Genomic DNA, 22,188 nt, shown 5'->3' with positions numbered 1-22,188 from the left:
TCACTCTGGGCACATGGCCACAGAGAGGAAAGAAACACACATTGTTGTTGATTCTGCAGTTCTTGTGATGTCTATTAACTCTGCTGGGGATTTCTCAAGATCATGAACATGGGGTGACTTTTAAAAATGTTTCCTTCCTGACAGGACAAAATGGAGAAGTACCCAGAACTGTGTTTCTGCTTTGCAGCACAAAAACATCCCGGGAGCCAGACAATTCTTTGCTGATCCTCAAAGATAGCAAGTCCAGACCACAGATTTGTGTGTCTCAAATTGCAAAGCATGTTCCTGTGTGTAAACGCTGGGAGACTAAAGCTGGCCTCACAGTGCTGGCTTCACCGTGGGCTGGGAGACCTGGGACGGGCGCGTTATCTGATGTGACTCAAGGTCCGGCCCCCCAACCCCGTGACCCATGCTTGTACATTTCCCACCTGTTCCTTCCGTTCTGGGTTGATCAGTTATCACACACAACCATGAAAAAGAAAGGGACGGTCAGAGCTGCCACAGGGTCGCCACCTATGCAGTGTCAGGCAGCGCGGAGGGTGGGGCTCTCCCATGTGGTCTTGCCGCCAGCTCCGATACCCGGGCCCAGCCCTGCTCCTCTGCTTGTGGGTGACTCAGGCATCCATGAGGAAGCCACAGAGGGAGGCCCACCTGCAGTGTCTCCCTCTCTCTCTTCTGTAATTATTCACGGAGAATACAAAGTGAACGTTTTCTAAGCATTTCTCCAGTTTCTTGCAGTGGTCTTTGAAAGGGGCCAATTAGTCTGGCGTTTCAGATCGGTCAGCTTTGCACTGTTCAATCTTTTCCTGTGTCTGTTGACTTTTACCCCCCTTTTGTGGAGAATGGGGTCGTGCTATGTTGCCCAGGCTGGTCTTGACTTCCTGGGCTCAAGCGATCCTCCTGCCTCTGCCTCCCTAAGTGCTGGGATTACAGGCGTGAGCCACCATCCTGGCTGATTTTCTGTCTGTTGTGATCTTGCTTATTCTTAAAGAAGGGAGTCTGTGCATATCTGATCATGGGGAATTAAGATGTGTCCTTGGCCGGATGCGGTGACTCAAGCCTGTAATCCCAGCACTTTGGGAGGCCGAGGTGGGCGGATCACGAGGTCAAGAGATCGAGACCAGCTGACCAACATGGAGAAAACCCCTCTCTACTAAAAGTACAAAATTAGCTGGGCATGGTGGCACATGCCTGTAATCCCAGCTACTTGGGAGGCTGAGGCGGGTGAGAATCGTTTGAACCCGGGCGACCGAGGTTGTGGTGAGCTGAGATCACGCCATCGCACTCCAGCCTGGGCAACAAAAGCAGAACTCCATCTCAAAAAAAAAAAAAAAAAAAAAAAAAAAAAATGGCGGGGCACAGTGGCTCACGCCTGTAATCCCAGCACTTTGGGAGACCGAGGTGCGGATCATGAGGTCAGGAGTTCGAGATCAGCCTGGCCAACCTGGTGAAACCCCATCTTTACTAAAAATACAAAAATTAGCTAGGCGTGGTGGTGCATCCCTGTAGCTACTTGCGAGGCTGAGGCAGGAGAATTGCTTGAACCTGGGCAGCAGAGGTTGCGGTGAGCTGAGATTGCACCACTGTACTCCAGCCTGGATGCCAGAACAAGACTCCATCTCAAAAAAAAAAAAAGTGTTCTTCTAGAATGGTGTGGATTCTGCTGCCAACCTTAGGGAGAAGGGATGTATTTAGTTTTTTGTTTTTTTTTTTTTGTTTGTTTTTTTTTTTTTTTTTTTTTGAGATGGGTCTCACTCTGGCACCCAGGCTGGAGTGCAGTGGTGTGATCTCGGCTCACTGCAGTCTCTCCCTCCCTGGTTCAAGCAATTCTCTTGCCTCAGTCTCCTGAGTAGCTGGGACCACAGGCGCTCACCACCACGCATGGCTCATTTTTGTATTTTTAGTAGAGACGGGGTTTCACCATATTGGTCAGGCTGGTCTTGAACTCCTGATCTCAGGTGATCCACCCGCCCCGGCCTCCCAAAGTGCTGGGATTACAGAGGTGAGACACCGCGCCCAGCCATATTTAGATTTATTGTCGTTTTCTTTTTTGTTGTTGTTTTCTTGTTTTTTTTTTTTTTTTGAGACAGAGTCTCACTCTGTTGCCCAGGTGGGAGTGCAGTGGCGTGATCTCGGCTCACTGCGAGCTCCGCCTCCCAGGTTCACGCCATTCTCCTGCCTCAGCCTCCCGAGTAGCTGGGACTACAGGCGCCCACCCCCACGCCAGGCTAGTTTTTTGTATTTTTAGTAGAGACGGGGTTTCACCATGTTAGCCAGGATGGTCTCGATCTCCTGACCTCGTGATCCGCCCGCCTCGGCCTTCCAAAGTGCTGGGATTACAGGCATGAGTGACATCTTACAGATAACGATAAGTGCAGGTGGTAAGTTGTTAATACCAAAGGCAACCATATTCTTTGGACCTAACGTTTTCTTGTAGGAATAATTTGATTCATTTTACCGCCAAGGAGCAAGTGTTCAAGAACCTCCTCCCTATAAGGGCAGAAAATTTAGATGTCAGTCTTGCTGAAATGCCCCAGTGCCCTCCTTCTCACGCATCCAAGAGTTTCCTCATAGCTTGGTTGGGTCCAGATGGGCTTGGTCCCATGTCTACATATAATTAGGGTGGAGAGGAGTTGAGGCATACAGCCTGGTGTCAGCAAGTCATGTCCTGAGCCTGGAGCTGGACAAAGCCCAGAACTCACCTAGTGGCCAAGGGCATTCAGGAGAGGCAGTGACTCCTACGGAAGTTGGTCTCAGCATTTGTGCTGCCATCTCTTCCGGTCTAACTGGCCAGAGACATTTAGGTGAAGACCTTTCACATTGCCTTTCTCTCAGTCAAGGAAGAGGTCAGCTAAATTGGTCCAGGAACTTTGAGTCAAACTCCTTCAATTCCTTGTCAGCTCAGGGGTGTAGCGTGGCAGAGAGTCACGGTGGTAGGTGGATAAGGAGTTGGGAGTGTTTGGGTCTTCTCAGTAGAAGGGGCTAGGGTAGGGGTTGCATCTGCCTCTGGATTTTGTTGTTGTGTTGGTGGTGGTTTTTTATTTGTTTGTTTTATAGAGACAGGCTCCCACTATGTTGCCTAGGCTGGTCTCAAACTCCTGGGCTCAAGAGATCCTCCCGCCTTGGCCTCCCAAAGTGCTGGGATTACAGGCATGAGCCACCATGCCGGCCTGCCTCTGAATTTTGTGTCTTCTTTCCCTGCTGTAGCATTTAGGCTAGAACCAAGCCCTTTTGCAGCAGTTCTGGACACAGTGACTGCCTACAACCGGGCTTGGCTGCTGGGACCTCACTCCCTACTAGGCCCAAGCTCAGAGTGTTCTATCTCTTAGGGACCAACTCTTTCATCATAAGTACATTCACCCCAGGGGCATAACCCACCCCAGGAAATAGGACTCAACTCTGTACCACCGCAGAGAACACCGTTCCTTCTGGCTTCTGAGGGAATGATACCTCCTGAACCTGTGGGATGCAGCAGCGCCGCCAGGACCCCGGCTTGGGATGATCTCCCGCTCTGATTATCACCACCCTGTGGACCAAGACCATCCCCCACACCCGCTGTCCAGGGATCTACTCTCCTGGGAACTGAGCAGGTGTCTTCTTAAACCCTGAAAGCCCAAAGTGTCTTGTGAGTTTGCCCCTTTTCTCCAGACAATGTGGATCCTTGACCTACTCCTGCAAGGGAGGGTCCCCTCTTCCACTCTTACCAAGAAGGAGATGACACAAAGTCCATTTCTGGTAGGGTGCTACTTTAAAAGGCACCCGTCACACACATGCCTCAAGCCCATCTGAAATTATCCAGGGTGCTGGCCTTTCTCTACCTATGCAGCTGCCCTCCTGGAAGCCTGGGTTGAGAGAGATGCGACTCGTTCAGCAGCCCGTCTATGCTCAGGGTAAGCCCGAGCACGTCAGCGAAGTCTCCCTGGCATGGGATCCGGCATCCGGGAAGCTAAGAGGCATCAGTGGGGCAAGCTGGGATGGTTCCAATGGCCCATGGCCTCCTCTCAGCTTTACCCCACCTCACCCCAACCAGAGAGATCAGTAGGCTCCTTCTGAGGGTGCCTCCTTTCTCAAAGGCAGGATTCTTCCCTCCAGTGCAATGGATCATGACCTGGCTGGTCCTTCTTTCTCTCTGATCTTGGCCTCAATCTAAGTTTCAGTCAAGTGAATGACATTATCCCTTACCTACTAGGAATTAAATAGGTTTTAAAGTACACACAGACACACACACACTTTGGAATATTTATATCAAAATGTATGTTTTTTAGGCCAGGTGTGGTGGCTCACGCCTGTAATCTCAGCACTTTGGGATGCCAAGGTGGGCAGATTGCTTGAGCCCAGGCATTCAAGACCAGGTTGGGCAACATGGTGAAAACCTGTCTCTGCAAAAAATACAAAATTTAGCCTGGCGTGGTGGCACACACTTATAGTCCTAGCTACTTGGGAGGCTGAGGCAGGAGGATCACTTGAGCCCTGGAGGTTGAGGCTGCAGTGAACCGTGATCGCAGTACTGTACTCCAGCCTGGGCAACAGAGTGAGACCCCATCTCAAAATATATATGTATATATGGTTTTTTAAACCAGGTTTCTTGAGATCATTTCATTGGGAATTTAGAAGAAAAAGAGGCATTCTGGGCGTGATGTATGGAGAATTCTTCTGGAGCGCTTCATGGAACCCAGCCTCTGAAGCAGAAGAAACAACTGAGTTCCACCAAGGAGCCCTGGTCACTTCACGGTGTCTTAACTTCTCCACATCTTGGAGTCACTTAACACTTCCAGGACACCAAACAGTCTAACAACTTAGTTCTCATGAAAGAATGCTGCTGGGTTGAATTGAAAAGCAGGCAGAGTTAGAGAATGTGCCTTCTACAAAGTAGCCATCTCAGAGAGACTTGTTTGAGTGAATAGAAAAATGAAACCTTTAGTTAAAGCAACTGAGTATTGAACATACGCATGCTTTAGAACTAAAAAATAGGCCGGGCACAGTGGCTCATGCCTATAATTCTAGCACTTTGGGAGGCCAAGGCTGGCAGATCACTTGAGCTCAGGAGTTCGAGACCAGCCTGGCCACATGGTGAGGCCCTGTTTCTACTAAAAGTACAAAAATTAGCTGGGCGTGGTGGTGCATGCCTGTAATCCCAGCTACTCAGGAGGCTGAGGCAGAAGAATCGCTTGAACCCTGGAGCTAGAGGTTGCAGTGAGCTGAGATCGCGCCATTACACTCCAGCCTGTTATCCCAGAACTTTGGGAGTTATCCCAGAACTTTGGGGGACAGAGCAAGATTCCGTTTCAAAAAAAATAATTATGATTTTAAGACTTGTGCTTTTTAAAAAACAATTTGGAATAATATTGCAATGCTTTTTTGTTTGTTTGTTTGTTTGTTTTTGAGATGGAGTTTCGCTCTTGTTGCCCAGGCTGGAGTGCAATGGCGCGATCTTGGCTCACCGCAAACTCCGCCTCCAGGTTCAAGTGATTCTCCTGCTTCAGCCTCCTGAGTAACTGGGATTACAGGCATGTGCCACCATGCCCGTCTAATTTTGTATTTTTAGTAGAGACAGGGTTTCTCCATGTTGGTCAGACTGGTCTCAAACTCCTGACCTCAGGTGATTTGCCCACCTCAGCCTCCCAAAGGGCTGGGATTACAGGCGTGAGCCACTGCGCCCGGCCTGCAATCCTTATTTAATTTTAATTTTTTGTGGAGACAAGGTCTCACTATGTGGCTCAGGCTGGTCTTGAAATCCTGGGGCTCAAGCGATCCGCCTGTTTTGACCTCCCAAAGTTCTAGCATAACATGTGTGAGCCACCACATCTGGCCTGCAATGCTTTTTTTGGCCAATTATAAGTTAGCTATATTAAATGAGACTAACAGTGATGTTTAATGATACTAAATAAGACCTGGATAATATAAACCACCTTTTATGTGATCATTAATATTTTTTATGGTAGGCTGTAAGTGTACAGTGACAGAAATGAGGTTCAAAAGCCAAGCAGGTATGCCTGGGATAAGTTATAGCCTTTTGTTAGCTTTATGCCACTAGCATTCATAAGGCACATACTATATTCAAGGACAGCGCTATGGTGTGAGTGTTTGCATCCCTCCAAAATTCACATGTTGAAATCTTCTTTTTTTTTTCTTTTTCTTTCCTTGTTTTTTTTTTTTTTTTTTGGCAGGTAACCTTCTGAGCTAGAGTAGGCTCAGAGACTCCCTCATCTGTTGAAATCGAATCTCCAATGTTTTGCCTTTAAGAGGTGGGGCTGTTGGGTCATGAGGGCAGAACCCTCGTGAATGGGAATAATCCCGCCATAAAAGAGGCCTGAGGGAGTTTGCTTGCCCCTTTCCTCCTTCCACCATGTGAGAATGCAGCAAGAAGGTGCCCTGTATGAAGCAGAGGGCCCTCACCAGGCACCGAATCCGGTGGCACCTTGATGTTGAACTTCTCGGCCTTCAGAACTGTGAGCAATAAAATTCCGCACTTTTTTTCTTTTTGAGATTGAGTCTCGCTCTGTCATCCAGGCTGGAGTGCAGTGGTGCAGTCTCCGACTCACTGCAACCTCCGCCTCCCAGGTTCAAACTATTCTCCTGCTTCAGCCTCCAGATTAGCTGGGATTGCAAACTCCACCTCCCAGGTTCAAACTATTCTCCAGCTTCAGCCTCCAGAGTAGCTGGGATTACAGGCACCTGCCACCACACCCAGCTAATTTCTGTATTTTTAGTAGAGATGGGGTTTCACCATGTTGGCCAGGCTGATCTTGAACTGCTGACCTCAAGTGATCTGCCCACCTCAGGCTCCCAAAGTGCTGGGATTATAGGGGTGAGCCACCGCGCCCGGCCACATTCTGCTTTTTATAAATTACCCAGTCTAAGGTATTTTGTTACAGCAGCCCAAATGGACTAAGACAGTGTATTTAGACTGGAGGGCATGGGGTTTGGGTTTAGATATTTGAAATTGCAGAGAGATGGGCTATGCCTCGCCTTTGTCTGCAGGTCTAGGACAGGTTCTGAGGAATGTCTGTAGTGTCAACTGGACAATGCAATATTCAAACATAACACAGAAAATGGAATTCCTTAACTCTTGCTCTGCTTCTGTCTTCTCAAAAAAGAACATTTTTCAAATCAAAAAGAACAAATCAAACCTATGAGGAGATGGTATGAGAATATTTTCATAGTAAAGAAAATGGAAAGAATTTGTGGAGGTGATTGGGAAATCTTTTGGATGATCTCTAGGAATTATGAAAAATAACCGAGCCACAGAGATGGGAAATACGTAATTCTAATTTTCAAAAAGAAAAAGAAGGTGGGTTCTATGACCTATAGATCAGTAAGCTTGAGATTGATTCTTGGTGAGAGTGTTGAAGAGAATGCTAGAAGGTGGTTTCTGAGCTCTTAGAAACCAGCAGGCAGTGATTATAGTCAGCCCCATGTCACTAAAAGCAAATTGTGTTAGCCTGATTCCATCTCCTTTTCTGATAGGATTACTCCACTGGCAAACTTAGAGATACAAGATGGATATGGTCCCTCTACACTTCAGAAAGGAAACTGACATAGTTGCTTGGGTGCCCTGGGGATAAGGTACAGAGGCAGAGTATCACTCGCAGCTTTTAGGTCACAAAGAACAGAAACAAATTCTAGTGAGTTTAAACAGAAAAGGGATTTTATTCAAGGATATAGGGAAGTTTACCAGCTGTCCAGAAGGGCCAGACAATCAGGCTCAGATATCCTACATCTGATGTGATTTATGGATTTTTGGATGCAGAGCCGCATCCACAATCACAGCCCTGGTCTTTGGAGGGCATGACAGCTTGTCAACATCGGCATGAACACCAAGGTTTGCCCTGCTGACACGGCTAACACTAACCCTGGTGTCCTGAAAAGGGTATAAAGCTGTCCCCATCCTCTGCCAAAACAGAGTCCTTAAAGTCCCAACGTTTTTGCCTCTCCAGCTCCTGAGTCAAAGTTCAGCCCAATGCCTCTGTTTGGTGGAGCCCAGATCATATGCCCACACCTTAGCTATGGAGGGAGCTGGGAAAGCCAGATGCTGACCTGTTTCACTTCTCATGGGAGGAGGTGGTCTCTGCCTTCTGACAGACTCGCAAAGTAGGGAATTCTCCCACGCAGAAAGTGGGGTCAGATGATGAGCTGCCGTAAAGAATGGCTAATGTTGTCCTCACAGGGGTTGAGGGATAGGGTAATTGTGCTGGTTTTTAACGGGTTGAAGGATCATAGCCAAAGCTTGCTAATTAATTGATTCTTTTTAATCCAGAGGACTGGTTTTATTGGAATACCACAGAACTCTGCATTATCGTGCCACATGAGGGTTTTTTGTTGTTGTTGTGTTTTTTTGTTTTTGTTTTTGTTTTATCAGTGGCTTGGCCAAAGACCAAAAATAAACTTGTTGTATTTGCAGGTGACACAGAGAATGAGTGGAATACTAATACATTGAAGGGCAAAATCAAAACCCCAGAAGATCTCTAAAAGTCTGAATGAATCAGCCCATATTACAAGATAAAGTCCATAATGGTAAACGGAAGGCTCTGGTCTTGGTTTACAAAATCCAACCACTCAAATATGTAGTTGCTGGTAAGAAAAAAAGCCATAATTTCATGTGGTTGCCAAGAAAGCTCATTAAATCCTTGGCTGCATTAATAGATGTATGGTATTTCCAACAAAGCCTTCTGCCTCATTCTGCACTGGAGAGACCACAGCTGAGCCCTGTGCCAAGCTATGTGCACCACAGTTTTCAAAGGGCTCGACGAGTTGGAGGCTGTTCAGAGGGGAGCAGCGGGGTGGTAGACACTCTCAGCCCCTTCGTAGAGGAAGAATGATACCACCGCAGGAGCTCGGCCATGAAGAAGGGCCATGGGGGGAGTGATGACATAGTGGTCACCAATTTTCTACAGAGCTTTCACATGGAAGATGGGTACGATTTATCCCACGGGGTGTCAAGGCATGAAATTAGGTACAATTGATGTAAATTATAGGGAATCTTCAGTCTAAGAAAGGGTTTCCACTGGAGCAACCCAAAAGTGGATGAGTCTATGTTGGGAGGGAGCAAGTTACCTCCCTGTCACTGAAGACGTTCAGATTCGAGACTGGATGGCCAGCATCCAGGGGTGCTGTCAAGGGGCCTCAAGCTATGTTTAGTCTAAACGAACTTTCAGCCTTAAGAGTATATTTTTTTTAATGAAAACATAAGGCATTACAAAGGAGAGATGAGCCAGGTGTGGTGGCATATGCCTATGGTCTCAGCTACTCGGGAGGTGAGGTGGGAGGATCTTTTGAGCCTAGAAGATAGAGGTTGCAGTGAGCCATGATTGCACCACTGCCTGGGTGACAGAGTGAGACCCTGTCTCTAATGTTAAAAGAAAAACCACAGAGACGTTTAACTTAACAGAGTTTAATTGAGCAAAAAATTATTTGTGAATAGGGCAGCCCCTGGACCAGAATGGGTTCAGAGAAGCTCCAGCTTAGGCACATGGTGGAGGAAGATTTACGGACAGAAAAAGGAAAGGGATGTACAGGAAACAGAAGCGAGGCACAGAAAGAGCCAGGCTGGTTACTGCTGGATGATTGCCTTGTTTGTTCATGGTTTGAAGAACTGCCCGCCTTTGGCCGGAACTGGGTGATTGACACAAGAGTAGGCAGCCGTGTGTTTACACACCCTGTCAGGTGACAGTGCACTATGCATGAGCACAGCTTTAGGCAGAATGTAAACTATAAGGAGGCAGCATTGGGCTAAACTTAATTTTACACTAAATAAAGTCTAAAAAATTTAAAAGCATTTTTAAAGGTAATAGAAGTTAGCTGTGATGTGCATGTGAACATTTAAACTACATTTTTCGTTTTTTTTTTAAAAAGGAAGTTTTGTGGCCATGGGGATGCTGACAAAGATTGCTTGGGATGCACACAAGGCAGCGGCGAAGCCTGAGGGGTGCTGCCAGGCCGGGCTCTCCACTGGCCACGGTAAGAATCTTCCTGGGCCTGTTTGTTTTGGCCTCTGTGAGCATGGGCCACAATCACGGGGAAATGAATTGCTAGGAAGTCAATTCCTCTCTGAAGGAAGGACTCCAAAGAGAGCTGAGGCTGCCGTGTTTTCTGGCCGCCCACACAAGCCAACAAGCTATTCCCTGGGGGCAACCACTAATCTCTAACCAGACAACCGGTAATCTCTTATTCATTCTCCGTTGAATTCTTGGGCTACACTCAATTTATAATAGAACTTAAAGAATGTCCTCATTTTATCTAGAGGGTTTGTAATGCCTTTATTTCGATTCCTCATGAATCATTATAGTCATGGATACCTGTGAACCACAGCTTCCTTGTAGAGAGGGGAGAGGGGAATAAGTGAAATTACTCCGGAGAAAACAAACAAGGACGTTTAGCTCCAGGGCATGTGGAGAGCCACAGTCTGAGTCTCTCACTCGCATACCAGGAGATAAATAATTCAGAGGCCTAACAAAGGGAGGCGGAGTAGTCAAACTGGTTGAACACCTGGTCGGCTGCACCCAGCTAAACAGGGCTGGTGTCTGTGAGGGCTTCCTAATCATTGTGGATGACATTTAAAGACAACACTCATAGCAAATATTGCATTAGAATTTTCTGCTTCCAAGATACCAGTCAGAGTAAGGGTGGGAGAGAAATGAGGGAAAGAACAGATACCCTACTACTTATCAGATTGCCTTAGAGTACACATCATGAAAGTAATTATGATTTTCTTTTTGAGATGGAGTCTTGCTCTGTCTCCCAGGCTGGAGTGCAATGGCATGATCTCAGCTCACTGCAACCTCCATCTCCCAGGTTCAAGTGATTCTCCTGCCTCAGCCTCCTGAGTAGCTGGGACTACAGGCACCCGCCACCACGCTTGCCTAATTTTTGTATTTTTAGTAGAGAAGGGGTTTCATCACGTTGGCCAGGCTAGTCTCAAACTCCTGACCTCAGGTGATCCACCCACCTCAGCCTCCCAAAGTGTTGGGATTAAAGGTGTGAGCCACCACACCTGGCCTAATTATGATTTTTAAGATGACAACAGGGCTATCAATGTTCATGTCTTTGTGTCCTCTATAAGAGATCAATGTATCTCTTGCCTGAATACTTCCCCAGATTAGATTTCTGGAAGCTCAAAGTAGTGCTGATTGCTGTCTGGTCCTGGTCTTGCAATCACACCCCACCAAATGTAGGCAAATTGTCAGTGTACAAGGCTGCCTCTGTGGTGGGAACATTTTGGGAACATAAAAGGGAGGCAGGGATTTCTCTTTTTTTTCGAGACAGAGTCTCACTTTGTCACCCAGGCCGGAGTGCAGTGGCATGATCTCAGCTCACTGCAACCTCCACCTCCCGGGTTCGAGTGATTCTCCTGCCTTAGCCTCCTGAGTAGCTGGGACTATAGGCGCCCACCACCACGCCCAGCTAATTTTTGTATTTTTAATAGAGACGGGGGTTTCACCATGTTGGCCAGGATGGTCTTGATCTCTTGACCTCGTGATCTGCCCACTTTGGCCTCCCAAAGTGTTGGGATTACAGGCATGAGCCACCGCACCCGGCCTGAGGGCAGGTATTTCTAATGTGTAGTGGGTTTCAAGTTTACAGTGACATCTCAGAGCTGCAAAAATGAAACATTATTTCTCTATAACTGTACTCAATTTACTTATGAAGTAGTGGAAAACTCTTCATCTTGGCACTTTAGGATAACTGACACCCTTCTGGTTTCAAAGCTTCTTTAGGGTAATTCCTCAGTCAATCCAGGATTTTAATTCCATCAGGGCCACACTCCCTCATCTCCTCCTCTGGATGAGCCCCAGGTCTGTCCCATGCTTCCTGTTCTCCGGCCCCCCTTGGCCTTGGAGACATCTTGTTGCCTTGGTGGTGCGTGTCAGTCTTGGTCACTGTTGCCTTCACCATTGACCCAGTTTGTCAGCTGCTCTTAGGCAACAAAAGGAGAGGTGGCTGTTCCCTGCCGGCCAGGCCCCGTCACTGCAGTGGCAGTGCTGCTCTGGCCAAGGCTTCATTCTCTGCCACCTTCCTCACCCTCACCAGGCGCTACGGGCTCTTCCCCTGATTTCCCCACACAGGAAGGAAGTAGGGGAGACTCAGGTGGGGCGGTTCTTGGAGGCCCATTTTCAGTCCAGGTCTGCCCTGCCTGCCTTTCCGCTCTGCTTCTCTCCCCTCTCATGTTCTTGTGGTGCTGGAAGCAAGGGTTTTAGAGCAAACAAGGGCCACGTCCCTTCTGCCCTTACCCCTGTACTCTCTGTCCCCTGCCAGTGAAATGTCGGCTAAGGAGGCAGAGCCACCGCCCCCTTGGGAACAAGCACACCTCTGTCTGTATCTCTTACAACTCTTCTCTCCTCCCCCATTTCTGCTCCCCAGTTCCCTGGGTGCTGAGTCAGGAAAGCCTTTATTTCCCCCCCCTCCCCCAGTAAGCTTTTGCAGTGCCAGGAAAGCTATTTTTTTAATGCTTATTAAAAAAATTTTTTTTTCGAGACAGAGTCTCATTCTGTCGCACAGGCTGGAGTGCAGTGACGCAATCTCGGCTCACTGCAACCTCCATCTCCCAGGTTCACGCCATTCTCCTGCCTCAGCCTTCTGAGTAGCTGGGACTACAGGCGCCCGCCACCACGCCCGGCTAATTTTTTTTTGTATTTTTAGTAGAGACGGGGTTTTACCATGTTAGCCAGGATGGTTTCGATCTCCTGACCTCATGATCCTCCCACCTCGGCCTCCCAAAGTGCTGGGATTACAGGCGTGAGCCACCGTGCCCGGCCCCGGCTAATTTTTTTGTATTTTTCGTAGAGACGGGGTTTCACTGTGTTAGACAGGATGGTCTCAATCTCCTGACCTCGTGATCCGCCTACCTTGGCCTCCCAAAGTGCTGGGATTACAGGCATGAGCCACTGCGCCCGGCCAAAAAATTTTTTTTGTTTAAGGAATAGGGTCTTGCTATGCTCAGGCTGGCCTCGATCTCCTGGGCTCAAGCAATCCTCCTGCCTCAGCCTCCTAAGTAGCTGGCAATACAGATGTGTGCCACCATGCCTGGGCAGCAATTTGTATTGCTTTCTTTTATGGTGGAGAAATGACCTTGTGCCATGAGCTGCATCCTTTAGAGCAGGGTGTCCAATCTTTTGGCTTTCCTGGGCCACATTGGAAGAAGAATCGTCTTGGGCCACATATAAAATATGCTAACACTAATGATAGCTAATGAGCTAAAAAAAAAAAAAATTCAAAAAGTCTCATAATGTTTTAAGAAAGTTTATGAATTTGTGTTGGGCTGCATTCAAAGCCATCCTGGCCACAGATTGGACAAGTTGCTTTATCGTAACACCTATAAATGCTATGCTCTGTCCCCCAAGCTTTTACTATCATCTTGCTTATTTATGCCTAGTGTTCCATTATTGGAACGGTAAGCATGTGGGAGTTATTTATATCCTACTGCTCAAGGCATTTCCAAGGTCTGATTTTTCAAATTAAAAAAATTGCCACCTCAGCCATAAATGGGTTAAAACTAAGCCATTTTGAAATTCAGAACAAAACTGCCTCTCTCTCACATGACTAGCTCTTTCAAGCGACTGTGGCTTCAGATATTGTGAATTATCCATCCGCTCAGCACCTCCTGGCTGCTTTGTTCTCGCTGTTTTCACTTTCTCCTGAAGTAATGAATGCCATTGAGCCAATGGGGGCAGAGTCAATAACTTTGAAGAAAAAGAACCTCAGTTTAAAATTTCAAAATATTATTTTTAATTTTTGATAACTTATATGCCTTCACTCCAAATAAATGAAGATCAAAATATGTGAATAAAATTCAAGATGACAGGCCGGGTGTGATGGCTCACATCTGTAATCCCAGCACTTTGGGAGGCTGAGGCAGGCAGATCATGAGGTCAGGAGTTCGAGACTAGCCTGGCCAACATAGTAAAACCCCATTTCTACTAAAAATACAAAAATTAGCCAGAGTGATGGCACATGCCTGTAGTCCCAGCTACTCAGGAGGCTGAGGTGGGAGAATCGCTTGAACTCGGGAGGCAGAGGTTGCAGTGAGCCGAGACCATGCCATTGCACTCCAGCCTGGGTGACAAAAAAAAAAAAATCAAGATGACATCACTCTAGTTTGTCCCAATCCTGGTGTAGCTTGAGTAAGGAAAAGCAGATGCCCTCGTTATAGGTCTAAGTCTCGCACCAAGGTTGCTCATGTTTCTGTTTTTAAACCTTCCACAAAGAAAATCACATGTAGGTCACACTGTCCTCACTAATATCTGGTGGAGCCTCATATCATCTGGATTCCTGTTTTCACCTATAAGAACTGATAGTTTTGTTTGTTTGTTTTTGTTTTTGAGACGGGGTCTTGCTCTGTTGCCTAGGCAGGAGAAGTGCAGTGGTGTGATCATAGTTTACTGCAGCCTTGACCTCCTGGGCTCAGGCGAACCTCCCACCTCAGCATCTTGAGTAGCTGGGACTACAGGCATGCGCCATCATGCCCAGCTAATTTTTTGTATTTTCAGTAGAGACAGGGTTTTGCCATGTTGCCCAGCCTGGTCTTGAGCCCCAGGGCTCAAGGGATCCACCCACCTCAGCCTCCTAAAGTGCGGGGATTACAGGCATGAGCCACCTCATCTGGCAGAACTACTTTTTTTTTTTTTTTGAGATGAAGTTTTGCTCTTGTCGCCCAGGCTGGAGTGCGGTGGCACGATCTCAGTTCATTGCAACCTCCGCCTCCCAGGTTCAAGTGATTCTCCTGTCTCAGCCTCTCGAGTAACTAGGATTACAGGTGTGCACCACCACGCGCCTGGCTAATTTTTGTATTTTTAGTAGAGACGGGGTTTTTGCCATTTTGGCCAGGCTGCTCTCAAACTCCTGACCTCAGATGATCTGCAAGCCTCGGCCTCCCAAAGTGCTGGGATTACCGTGAGCCACTGTGCCTGGCCCAGTGGAAATGATTTTTAATGAGGCAGAGGGAGCAGCGTTTGATTCACACACATTTAGTGTATACTGTTTTCAACAGTTTACCACATGCTGCAGGGGGCAGAGGTGGATCCAGGTTTTGGGAGGCCTGAAGCTTACAGAATCTGGGCGCCCTTTTTAAGTAGAAGAATACAAAGTTATGTAGATAAATAGTTATCACATAATGAGCAAAGAATGTACAGCAAATCACATTATCAAAAGCTAACAAATCACACAAAATCATAAAACTCCAAAAAGTACATAATATTTTATTAACCACTTGCTATACTTTTTTTTTTTTTTTTTTTTTTTGAGACAGAGTCTCACTCTGTTGCCCAGGCTGGAGTGCAGTGGCTCGATCTCGGCTCACTGCAACCTCTGCCTCCCAGGTTCAAGAGATACTCCAGCCTCAGCCTCCTGTAGCTGGGATTACAGGCATGAGCCACTGCGCCTGGCCCACTTGCTATACTTCTATCGTACTCCCCTACCCCTTGTATTTTTTGGCTGTGTATTCTTAGGTGACCTTTTGAGAGAAAACAATTTTATAATTTCATTTTCTCTAAAGAGAATAGAATCATTCAGTTTTTCTTCTAGCATGGTGGATTGCAATGTACTTATACATAGTTTGAAAGTTTTGTTTGGTAATGTCATTTAAAACTTTCTTTTTTTTTTCTTTTTTTTTTTGAGACCGAGTCTCACTCTATTGCCCAGGCTGGAGTGCAGTGGTATGATCTCGGCTCACTGCACCCTCCGCCTCCTGGGTTCCAGTGATTCTCCTGCGTTAGCCTCCCAAGTAGCTGGGATAATATATGTGTGCCACAACACCCGGCTACTTTTTGTACTTTTAGTAGAGATAGGCGTTTCACCATGTTGGCCAAGCTGGTCTCGAACTCCTGAGCTCAGGTGATTGCCCACCTCAGCCTCCCAAAGTGCTGGGATTACAGGTGTGAACCACTGCGCCTGGCCTGTCATTTAAAATTCTATCCAAGGTTGTTGTTAAATTTGGTATAACCTCTATCAAGTTCTCTTGATATACATACAAGCTATAAAATTGGAAAGAATATTCCCCCAGACTGGCTTCTGGCTCCAAACTGTGTTTTATGTTCATGAGACACATACTTGTGGTGCCAGAAGCCACAGCACACATTTATATCATGATGCAAATTTTGGCCTGCACCTTCATGTCCTGATGCCCAGTGAGTTGGCACAGGGAGAGGGCGTTTTCCTGGAAGCCATTCCTACATCAGGATGAGTAGCAATAACTTCAACTATGCACAGACACATCTGCAAATCAGATGACTGTGTTTTACCAAGTCCAACTAAATGTACCCCTAACTCAACTTGCCGTTAGCCAATTCCCCAAAATGCTCACAGCCACTTCTAGGACCCCTAACACAAGTGGCGTTGGAGCAGAATGCAAATGATCTTAATCCCCTAAAATTGCAGTTTCTTACTTATAGAAATTTTATATATAAACACACACACACACGGCTAAGGGTCCTTGTAGGGCCTTGGAAGGAGCCCGTGCAAATGAGGGATTCTGAAGCTTCAACCCCATTAGCTTCACTGCACAGCCATAGCTGATGGGGTGGGAGGATGGATGCTGAGCAAAGCCAGAAATCAGGTTCTTGCTGAGAAGACCAACACAAAAGACCACGATGCCACAGTCCGCAGTCCAGTGACTTGCTGACTGTGTCACTCTGAAGGAGAGATACGGGTGGGATAAATAAAGCCCTGAGTGGCAGCTCAGAAGGAGCCAGGGGGGATTTTCTGCAGGCCCCGGTACCCACAGTTACATCGCCCTCTTGGTACAGCCTCATCATGATGAGTTTCAAGAGAGAATTCAACAACGGCTCTCCTCCCTTAACTGTTTGGATGCTAAAGTGTTGTGATTTTTGTTATTACTGTTTCTAATTCAGATGGCTGATCAAACTCGGTGTTTTCTGATGCATCTGTGAACAAAGATTACACTTAGATAATGTCTAAAATGCAATGCCAGCTGAGTGCAGTGACTCACGCCTGTAATCTCAGCACTTAGGGAGGCCAAGGCAGGAGGATTGCTTGAGCCAAGGAATTTGAGACCAGCCTGAGCCATATTGTGAGGCCCCATCTCCACAAAAAAATTTAAAAATTAGCCTGCAGTCCCAGCTATTTGGGAGGCAGAGGTGGGAGGATCCTTTGAGCCCAGGAGGTCAAGACTGCAGTGAGCCATGATCATGCCACTGCACTCCAGCCTGGGTGATAGAGTGAGATCCTGTCTCAAAAAAATAATAAAATAATAAAACAAAATAAAATAAAATAAAATGCAGTGACACTTCTACCCTCATATGCTGGAGTTTGATGGGGGAGCACATTGATTTAGATGCCGCAAAAGCAGCATTTAGCTGTGGAATTACAGTCGTTACCCATTTGGGTATATTTTACTCTGCCTGGAAGAGTTCATGTGTTTCACGGTTGCTACTAGGTAAGGACGCAGGCCCTGGGAGATCCTGGTTCAACAGTGACTGTCTTATGTAACAGAGTCATTCTCTTTATGACCACCTTAGGAACCGCTAAGGAACATAATAAGAAATACACAGAACTGATTGTGGAACTGCTCTTTCTCCCTGCGATTCAGAGGGGAAAAGATAAAGCCACACAGCCCTGGGGCCTCTTGCTTAAGAACACATCTCAGTTTAACCACCAAGGCCGTTATGATAACAAATGTCAGTATGGAGGTGTGAACATCAGGGGCTATTCAAGGACGCTTCTCTGATCACTGCCATGTCTATCTGCTGTGATCACGACTATTTTATAAACACCCTTCCTACCCAATGCCATCAGAATTTTAGGGACGATGCTTCAGTAATTATCTTTTTTTCCCTCCTTCCTCCCTATTTTCTTTTTCCTCTGAATAGCTGCCAAAGTAACTAGAGTCATATAATTTTAGAGCTGGAAGCTCAGGGAGAGGCTTGGATCCTGATGACCCAAGCATGGGAGGGGCCTGAAAAAATGTCAACAGCGCTCCGTTGTTGATCCCACACATTTACTTAATATGAGCTGGTGCTGGCAGAGGTTTATGTTGGAAAGGCTGCAACTTTCTGTGCCCCACATAAATGAGATAAAACCTGGGGAAAGGAGTGTTGGTTTAAATCAGAAAGGCTCTGGTTTTTATTTGATACTAAACAAATCATGCAGTTTACAAGTCTGTGACACTCTAAGAGTTAACTAGCAGTTTTGTTTTTTTTCTTTTTTTTGAGACGGAGTTTCACTCTTGTTGCCTAGTCTAGAGTGCAATGGCGCAATCTCGGCTCACCGCAACCTCTGCCTCCCAGGTTCAAGCAATTCTCCTACCTCAGCCTCCCGACTAGCTGGGATTACAGGCATGCGCCACCATGCGCAGCTGATTTTTGTATTTTTAATAGAGACAGGGTTTCTCCATATTGGTCAGGCTGGTCTCGAACTCCCGACCTCAGGTGATCCGCCTGCCTCGGCCTCCCAAAGTGCTGGGATTACAGGCGTGAGCCACTGTGCCCGGCCTAATCAGCAGTTTTTAACATGCTACACAGGGTCTGGGAAAGACAGCTGCCAAGTTGGGGGCTTTGAAAATATGAGACATCTGTAAATAATAACCTTTGGGTATTTCACCTGTGTTTGCTTCTTTATATTACTTTTGTGTGTGTGTGTGTGTGTTTTGAGACAGAGTGTCTTGTCACCCAGGCTGGGGTGCAGTGGCGTGATCTCGGCTCACTGCAACCTCCACCTCCTGGGTTCAAGCAATTCTCCTGCCTCAGCCTCCCTCAGGCACTTGCCACAATGCATGGCTAATTTTTGTATTTTTAGTAGAGACGGAGTTTTGCCATGTTGGCCAGGCTGGTCTTGAACTCCTGACCTCAGGTGATCCACCCGCCTCGGCTTCCCAAAGTGCTGGGATTATAGGCGTGAGCCACCATGCCTGGCATATATTACTTTGTTCTAAAATTAATTTAGATCTGGCATCCTCTTTTTGTCCCTCAAATGTTATTTTACCAAAACATATATTATTGGGACAAGAGGCAAATTGCATGGCCAAGTTGAATGACGTTATTCCCCACTCTGACAGCTTTTGTTTTTAACTCTAGAATTTGTACATATGGCTTTGGAAACCTCATCCAACACTAAGTAATGAACATACATGAGGATACTATGTATTTTTCAACCTGCAAGCCCAAGATTTCAAATTCTTTGGTTTATCGCAGAGAACACATCTCTCAAATTGTCTTCAAGGAGCACTGCAGGAGGTACAATCCATTCCCCACTAACCCAGGAAGACTGTCTGAATTTTTTCAGAGGGAAGATGGGTGGGGGAGAAGTGGGGATGGTTAATGGGTACAAAAAAAAAAAATAGAAAGAATGAATAAGACCTAATATTTGATAGCACAACAGGGTGACTATAGTCAATAATAATTTAACTGCACTTTTAAAAATAATGAAAAGAGTATAACTGGATTGTTTATAACATAAAAAATAAATACTTAAGGGGACAGATACCTCGTTTTCCATGAGGTGATTATTATGCATTGCATACCTGTATCCAGAGTATCTCATGCAACCCATAAATATATACACCTACTATGTACCCACAAAAATTAAACATTAAAAAGTTAATCTTTTTAATGTTTAATTTTTTTTTTTGAGACAGGCGTGGTCTTGGCTCACTGCAACCTCTGCCTCCTGGGTTCAAGCAATCCTAGTGCCTCAGCCTCCGGAATAGCTGGGATTACAGGCCTGTGGCACCACGCCCAGCTAATTTCTGTATTTTTAGTGGAGACAGGGTTTTGCTATGTTGGCCAGGCTGAACTCCTGACCTCAGGTGATCTGCCTGCCTTGGCCTCCCAAAGTGCTGAGATTACAGGCATGAGGCACTGTGCCTGGACAGAAAGTTTTTAAAAAAAATTTGTTCAGAGGGAACCCATTTCCTCTTCTGCTACACAGACAGCCAGGCCTGACTTGCACTGTTTCTATCCCCCCACAAAAAAAGCAACAACATCACCGAGAAGATAGTTCTGTTTGTCTTGATGATCAACATAGATCTGTATAGTTGATTTTGTGCCAGCAACAGGCTCCAGTCACAACAACATGAGATTCCAGGCCTTTTTGCCTGCCATGCTGGACACAGACTGGGCCATAGAGAATAGGAGAACCCGTGTGTTCTTCTGAGTTGTCTGTGAAGAAAAATACACGGGGAGAGGGGTAGACGTGAGTTCCTGGAAGAGTGGAGATGTGTGGGGAATTCTCCAGCGTTCCTTAATTAGAAACACGACTCAGTGATGTTCTTTGGAGCCCAAGACCCCAGGAGGCACTGAGTCCAGTGGTCCCAGGAAGCTAAAAATGAGGGCAAGAGTCAGCGTGGCTTTAAAAATCTCTGATCACTCATCCCCCAGAATGAAATCTGGGACTCAAAAGCTCTGATGGAAATGAAGCAGACTTTAGGAGGTCTGGTTTCGGGGGTGCTCCAGGAGCTGAATGTGAAATGTTATTTGTTCCAGAAAGTCCTGGCAACTTGGCGCAGCGAATTTGATCAGCACCATACGTACGACCTGTCTCAGGAACGGTGCCATGTGTGTGACTAGGACTGCAAAGCAGCTTGTGTTCGTGGGGGAAATGACAGGCACAGGAAGGAAAAGCTGAGAACACTGAAACGGTTCCTAATCGTGCAGTGGGGAAAGGAGGGCGACTGCCGCGCAGAGTGGCACGTTGGCTGGAAGAGGGGATTGATCAGCAGTGCTGGCAGGAACAGCATAGGCTTGTCGTGTGATCTAACAGAAGAGGCAGCAATCTGGAGGCGCCCCAGATCAGAGAAGAGACATCAAGCCCCAGGAGAAATGGATTTCCTTTCTCCCCACCCATCAGCTGGGTAGGAAGCCCGAAGGAGCCTTTCATGGAACTATGGGAAGGGCTCCTCTGACGCAGAGGGGATGAACTGGAAGCAAGATGCTGACTGTTTCCAAAGGCTTGACAGTCAGAAGCAGGCAGGCTTCAGCCTATTGAGATACTTTACCCAAGAGGATTTCCGCTTAGGTTCTGTCTTGAAAGAAATATTCGCTCCCAAATTTCCTCCCATCAAGAGTGCTTCTCCCTACAGAAGGCTAAGGCTCACAGGTTGTCCCCAGGGACACATTTCTTTCAAGTAGGATGACTGGTATGTTTAGACTGAAAAGCTGATTTACTGGAAGATTGCTATCACCCCCTGGCCTACCATGTCGTTGGTGTGGCCAGTGTTTATCAGACAGTGGTGTTTCCAGCTTAGGCCTGAATGGAAGAAGAAACTGAAAGAAGAAATAAAAAGAGAGATGCGCCGGGCATGGTGGCTCATGCCTGTAATCCCAGTGCTTTGGGAGGCCGAGGTGGCAGACCACTTGAGGTCAGGAGTTCAAGACCAGCCTGGCCAACATGGTGAAACCCCGTCCCTACTAAAAATACAAAAAATTAGCTGGGTGTGGTGGCGTGTGCCTGTGGTCCCAGCTACTCCGGAGGCTGAGGCAGGAGAATTGCTTGAACCCGGGAGGCGGAGGTTGCAGTGAGCCAAGATTGTACCACTGCACTCCAGCCTGGGCAACAGAGTGATACTCTCTCAAACAAGACAAAACAAACAAAAAAGAGGAGGCTCGGCACGGTGGCTCACGCCTGTAATCCCACCACTTTGGTAGGCTGAGGCTGGCATATCACTTGAGGTTGGGAGTTCGAGACCAGCCTGACCAATATGGAGAAACCCCATCTCTACTAAAAATGCAAAATCAGCCAGGTGTGGTGGCGCATGCCTGTAATCCCAGCTACTCAGAAGGTTGAGGCAGGAGAATCGCTTGAACCCGGGAGGCAGAGGTTGCGGTGAGCCAAGATCACGCCATTTTACTCCAGCCTAGGCAACAAGAGCAAAACTCCATCTCAAAAAAAAAAAAAAAAAAATGGAGAGAGAGATGTTTCTCAGCTTTGGGAAATGCTGACTTTTCCAGCACACCTTTGCTCAGAAAAGCCCTATGATATAAAGTGTCATAGGAACCTTGTCCTTGGAACCAAGCCTAGCCTAGGCTCAGGGACATCATGTGGGAGTGACATAAAGGAGGCTCCTCTGTCACTGTGCTTGGGTTACAAGTAATTCTCGACATGGGAGCATGTTGATTTCTAACCATCGGTGGCGGAGCTGTGACTTCCCAAGCTGGTGGCTGACCTCAAGAGGACTATTATAGACACTGTGGGACCACGGCCTGAGAAAAGAATGGCTACCTCCCTCTCTATCCCATGACCTCT

At 46.9% G+C, this 22,188-nt stretch overlaps 1 long non-coding RNA gene across 1 annotated transcript, besides 3 other annotated features; it reads left to right on the top strand.

The window, feature by feature from the left end:
• Positions 503 to 562: a silencer, noted in NCBI's record as "silent region_15789". NCBI's record gives its function as "represses an Ori minimal core promoter by ATAC-STARR-seq in GM12878 lymphoblastoid cells {active_cell/tissue: GM12878}" and the evidence as "EXISTENCE:reporter gene assay evidence [ECO:0000049][PMID:35858748]".
• Positions 6,069 to 6,568: an enhancer, noted in NCBI's record as "H3K27ac hESC enhancer chr4:169995185-169995684 (GRCh37/hg19 assembly coordinates)". NCBI's record gives its function as "activates a minimal SCP1, AML or CMV promoter by ChIP-STARR-seq in naive H9 embryonic stem cells {active_cell/tissue: H9 hESC(naive)}" and the evidence as "EXISTENCE:reporter gene assay evidence [ECO:0000049][PMID:30033119]".
• On the top strand, positions 6,329 to 21,546 carry LOC105377527 (uncharacterized). Its single transcript, XR_939429.3, has 5 exons — positions 6,329 to 6,449; positions 8,402 to 8,574; positions 9,853 to 9,957; positions 19,023 to 19,181; positions 20,430 to 21,546. It is a non-coding gene; the product is annotated as an uncharacterized LOC105377527 (long non-coding RNA).
• Positions 9,798 to 10,752: an enhancer, noted in NCBI's record as "NANOG-H3K27ac-H3K4me1 hESC enhancer chr4:169991001-169991955 (GRCh37/hg19 assembly coordinates)". NCBI's record gives its function as "activates a minimal SCP1, AML or CMV promoter by ChIP-STARR-seq in primed H9 embryonic stem cells {active_cell/tissue: H9 hESC(primed)}" and the evidence as "EXISTENCE:reporter gene assay evidence [ECO:0000049][PMID:30033119]".
• Positions 21,547 to 22,188: the final 642 nt, after the last annotated feature.

This window comes from Homo sapiens, chromosome 4, assembly GCF_000001405.40.
Source record: "Homo sapiens chromosome 4, GRCh38.p14 Primary Assembly".
Classification (NCBI taxonomy): Eukaryota; Metazoa; Chordata; class Mammalia; order Primates; family Hominidae; genus Homo; species Homo sapiens.
This window is presented reverse-complemented; position numbering and strand designations above follow the sequence as displayed.